The sequence below is a fragment of the Homo sapiens genome, chromosome 2 (genome assembly GCF_000001405.40).
Source record: "Homo sapiens chromosome 2, GRCh38.p14 Primary Assembly".
NCBI classification, from domain to species: Eukaryota; Metazoa; Chordata; class Mammalia; order Primates; family Hominidae; genus Homo; species Homo sapiens.
Window position 1 is genome coordinate 163949508 of NC_000002.12, and position 5593 is coordinate 163955100.

Genomic DNA, 5593 nt, shown 5'->3' on the forward strand with positions numbered 1-5593 from the left:
CATTCACATGAAAACCAAGGATACCACCTCCCATAAGAAAGAATTTAATTAAAGATCTATTTTTAGTAAGTAGGTAAGTAGTAGCAAAAACTGTAAAATATTCCTACTCTAACAGTCATGGAAAAAAGATAAAACAGGAGTATCTCTTTCCTTTTATCTTCCTAAGGAGAATATAACCTCTCATTTGTGCATTGAATAAAGAGACCCTCACTGACATCTCAGTAGGACATCTAACCCTGTGAGTGTCCACTCTGTTGCTGAGATGAATAGGGCTGTCTCTTTCCATCTCCTGGCTTCTCCTTGTCTAAGAAGATATAAAGGCAGAAAAGGCAGGAAATGCAGGGGAGTTAATACCACACCCTTTCTCCTTCTAAGAACTAACTTCACTGAGAAAGGAGTCCCTACCCATCTGTCATGCTGGGAAAGGATGTTAATACTTGCTAAAAATAAAATTGTGGGATATAGTAATAAAGCACAGTGAGCTAGCTAGTCTGACCTCTGGTCCTAACTCCATCACTTACCAATGCATAAACTTAGCAAATTACTGGATTTCCTTGTGTCTCCAATTTCTCCTCTGTAGAATGAGGATTATGATAGCACCTACTCTACTGGTTACTGTGGGAATTAAACAATTTAGCATTTAGAACAATGTGTGGCACATAGTAGTCCCTACCTTGCTTCCCAGTCCTGCTCTTCCTTCTTTGTCCTAGTCTCATGCTTCTAATTTCTTCAGATGATTTTGGCCACGGCAACTAAAATTTTGAAAAGTCATGTGAGTAGAATCACCCTGGAAGCTTGAAAGAGGTAGATTTAAGACCAGTGACATGATGTACTGCTTTGTGTAGGATTTAGCATTTTGAGTATGTAGAGGAAACTATTATGGTATGATTGGAGGGTTTTTGAGTAGCACCCCTACATTCCAAATCTCTCTTTTGCTATCCATCAAAGTATTAGTGTACTCTGTGAAATAAATTTCTCCAAAACTCAGTGACTTAAAACAATAGACTTTTTTTTTTTTTTAAATCTTGCAAATTCTGTGGGCATAGCTTAGATGGGTGTATCTGGCTCAGGTTGTCTGAAGAAGTTATAGTGTGTCACCTGGGACTGTGGTCTCACCTGAAGGTGTGATCCGGGAGGGATCTGCTTCCTAGCTCATGAACATGGCCAGCTACAATGTCATAATGCAACCCTGGGGAGAGGTCCATGGTTGAGGCCCAAGGCTTTCTAATGACCACATTTAGTTTGTAGGTTGTCTTGCAGAATGTTGTTCTTCACTTTGTTAAATTAGACCTTTTATTATACATCTATAAAATTAAACTCTCAGGGAATTCATGTGCTATTAGACTTTGCTAATGTCTTGGGCGAGTTTGATCCAAATTAACTTGGATTTCCTTGCTTTCTGTGATATAAACACTTCTCATTTATAATATATGAGTGGTTCTTCAGGCCACCCCACCCTAACTTTGGAATGTTAGACTTTTATGTTCTTCAGGCCACTCCATGACTGAAGTTTTTCCCATGCTAATTTACACTGACCTGCACTGATCAGAATTAGCTGGTTGGTCTCTCTCCATTCTCACTCTCATCTTTCCTCTTCATCTGCTTCCCTCTGAGGACCAAATTCATGCCACTATACACAGCAACTAAACAAACTCCAGTGGCTGTTTCTAATTTAAACTGTTGGATTTGTCATAACCCAATCCATTAGTATGCTCTGTAGAATCAGAAGATCTTCCATTTAATAGAACTTGTCCCCTTAAAAAACTTAGTGTTTTAAATCGCAATTATATTTCTTTTATTATTCTCCAATTCACATAAGATTTTTTAGTTCTTGTTAATTTTTACCTTTGAGATTTCTGTGATTCAAGAGTATGGAAAGTTAGGTATGGGCTGATTCAGTTTTTAACTATTATAAATAATTTTAATTAAACTTCCTATTCCCTGCCTCTTTATAATTTTGGAGAGCTGCAAAGGTAAGGTTTTTAAAGTTTATTTATTTATTTATTTATTTATTTATTTATTTATTTATTTGATACAGAGTCTCACTCTTGCCCAGGTTGGAGTGCAGTGGTGCAACCTTGGCTCTGCTTCCTGGGTTCAAGTGATTCTCCTGCTTCAGCCTCCCAAGTACTGGGATTACAGGCACCTGCCACCACACCTGGCTAGTTTTTTTTTGTAATTTTGGTAGAGATGGGATTTCACAGCATTGGACAGGTTAGTCTCGAACTCCTGATCTCTAGTGAACTGCCCACCTCAGCCTCCTAAAGTACTGGGATTACCAGCGTGAGCCAGCACGCCTGGCCTTAACTTTTGATTTTAAATTTTACAAATGTTTTCATTAGATTCATGTCTCTGAAAACACACCGAAATGCAAACAATTGGGTTTATTTCAGATACATGATTTATAATACAAGTAGTATGCACAAGATTTGAAGAGGCTGTCCTGATATTTTGTCAGATATTCTCAGGCCTCATTTAATTATATTTTTATAGGTATTACCAGTTTTTATTATGCTATTTCGTCTAACTTTTGTTCTTTTTAGCTAAAGTTGTGGTTTATCAAGCCCTGTCTTTTAATATACTGTCAGTTTGTCAAGTCTAAAATTCGCATGATCTCTTTCAATACTATAATCACAAATTGAAAATTACAATAACAATGCTTAATTCTTTCTGCTCAGGATTTACAGCAACCTCACCCCAAATTAAATTAATGTTTTGCAGGAAGTACATATTTATATTAAGAATTTTAAACTAAGATATTTAAAAAAACAAAAAGTTGAAAGAAAATTTAAACAATGATACACTTTAAGAAGAGAAGGGATTTTTTAAAAATGTATGATTTACTAATAGAAAAGTTAATTCTGGCCAGACGCAGTGGCTCATGCCTGTAATCCCAGCACTTTATGAGGCTGAGGTGGGTGGATCACTTGAGGTCAGGAGTTCCAGACCAGCCTGACCAACATGGTGAAACCCTATCTCTACTAAAAATACAAAAATTAGCCGGGTGTGGTGGCAGGTGCCTATAATCCCAGCTACTCGGGAAGCTGAGGTGGGAGGATCACTTGAACCTGGGAGGTGGAGACTGCAGTGAGCTGAGATCATATCCACTATACTCCAGCCTGGGTAACAGAGCAAGAAAAAAAAAAAAGAAAGAAAGAAAGAAAGAAAGAAAAGAAAGGAAACAAAGAAAGAAAGAAAATAGAAAGAAAAGCTACTGCTAATTTGTGAGATAGAAATAAAACATTTTTTTTTTTTTTTTTTGAGACAAAGTCTAGCACTGTCACCTGGGCTGGAGTGCAATGGAGCAATCTCAGCTCACTGCAACCTCCACCTCCTGGGTTCATGAGATTCTCCTGCCTCAGCCTACCGAGTAGCTGGGGTTACAGGCGCACACCACCATACTCGGCTAGTTTTTTGTATTTTTGGTAAAGATGGGGTTTCACTATGTTGGCCAGACTGGTCTCGAACTTCAGACCTTGTGATCCACCCACCTCAGCCTCCCAAAGTGCTGGGATTACAAGTATGAGCCACCGTGCCTGGGCGAAATAAAACAATTTTTGAAACTTAAGCATATCACCAAGAAGGGGGCTGTAAACTTTCAGATTCTTAATCATGTTTTACAACAAAACAAACCCTCAAATAGGAGGTATTTAAAATATTATAAATTATTACACTACTTTTGTTACAGTCTCACCAATGCACCACAATGTAGCAGTCTCTTATGGCCCAAGGTATCACCCAAAGTTCCTTGTCTCATGATCAAGAAAGTTATGGAGTGCAGACACCAATGGTAAGGTTGGAGCAAAAGTTTAATAGGCAGAAAAAGAAAGCTCTCTGCTGCGGAGAGGGGACCCAGAAGAGGGTTGCCATTTTTACAGTTGAATGCATAAACTTTTATAAGAAACCGACGAGGGCTGGGCATCTCATTTGCGTAAGGCACAAATTTCTGCTAGCTCCACCCCATCCTCCTAGTGTGCTTGCAAACCCTTAGCTTGAGTAACTCCATATTGCTTTGTTCCCCTTACTGCGCATGTAGCAGGGAATGGAATTTTCCATCATAGACATGTCTGGGCAAGTCACCTGTGTAGGCTTTCTTATCTGTGTGGCTGTGGGAATGTCTTAGGCAAGCCTCCCTGTGCAAGTTCCCTTATCTATCTATACCTGTAGGCTCTTCTTTTGTTTGAAAGAATTCAATCTAAGACCCACCCTAACTGCCTGCCTGACTGGTTTCTTCCTTTCTCCTCTCTCACTTTTACAGTACTTCTCTGAGAATAAAGATTAATATAAATGTTTATCTTCAGCTTTTCTGGTTATCCGTAACTACTCTATTATTCATAAAGTCAAATAGGTTTTATAATTCTAACTTTTAAAAATAACCAAAGTGACCTGACTTCAACTACTCTTGTTGACATTATACTTAATTCAAATCAGCTAAAATATTTTTAAACTCAAAAGAAAAAGATAATAGCAAAGGGCAGGCTAATGTATTAAATTACCTGAAAGGAAAAATAGTATTTTTTGGAATTAATGTTCACACTAACCTTTTGATATTCAGGATGAACATGATGGCATTAGCTCTTTGCTATTCAGTGTTTTTCCCTTCAGAAAATGTTGGCAACTTTTCATTCTTAAAATAACTTTTTCTTTTGGCAATCACTGAGCTGCACACTTAGTAACCACTCAGAAGCCATCAAGGAAATGTGAGAAGATTCAGGTTTAATAAGGAAAAAAAGGCTTATTATTGTCATCTTTCATTACATTTCAACCCAAAACATGGAGTGGAATTTTTTTATCCCCATTCAGTGAGGGTCTTTCTCTACCCATTGAATTTTTTTTTTTTCTACTTGAAACACCTACCTCAATGTTCCCATGTGTCTTTCCTAGACACTTTCTAGGAACTCTTGGGAGAGGTTGGATATCAATAGGGTAATGCTCATGGGAATGATACTTATATTACAGTTTTGTGTTTTCTACTTCTAGCTATAGGAAAATTAGAACAAATTATGCTGGCCAAGGTTAGACAAAAACAAAACAAAATGAAAAACCCCACTGAGTTTGTAAGTCTTAAAGTAACCTGCCAAAACTCACCTGGCCAGTAGTGGTACAACATTTATGTGATTTTGGTGGATGGAGTCAGTATCATGAATTGATTACATACATATGCATAAACCTAGTTTTCTCTATCTTAACATAGAGACAAAGAAAATTTTTCACTAGCACAAACTACATCACTAAATCTGTTAGGGTGGAAGCCCACAGCAATTTTAGCCAGGAGCAATGGGAATTCCTCTGGTCAGTCTTTTTTTTTTTCATATGAGATAATAAAAAATAACTTTTATTGTGAGATAATCTTTCATTGATATAATACTTGAGTGTTTATTTTATCAAAATATTTTTACATATATTCACTTTTTTCTTAACATTAAAAGTGAAATTAATAATTATTATTTATCAATTGCTTATTAAGTGACAGACATTACGCTAAGAACTTTATATCTTATCCACACAATGTGAAGTAGCAATTATTACTGACTACATTTTATTGATGTGGAAAAAGACTGAGAGAGATTAAGTTATGTATAAAGCATAGGAA

General features: G+C 36.9%; 1 annotated feature.

Annotated features, from left to right (window-relative positions):
- Positions 3685 to 4884: an enhancer, noted in NCBI's record as "MED14-independent group 3 enhancer chr2:164809702-164810901 (GRCh37/hg19 assembly coordinates)". NCBI's record gives its function as "activates an origin of replication core promoter dependent on BRD2, BRD4, P300/CBP and CDK7 cofactors, and independent of MED14, by STARR-seq in HCT116 cells {active_cell/tissue: HCT116}" and the evidence as "EXISTENCE:reporter gene assay evidence [ECO:0000049][PMID:35650434]".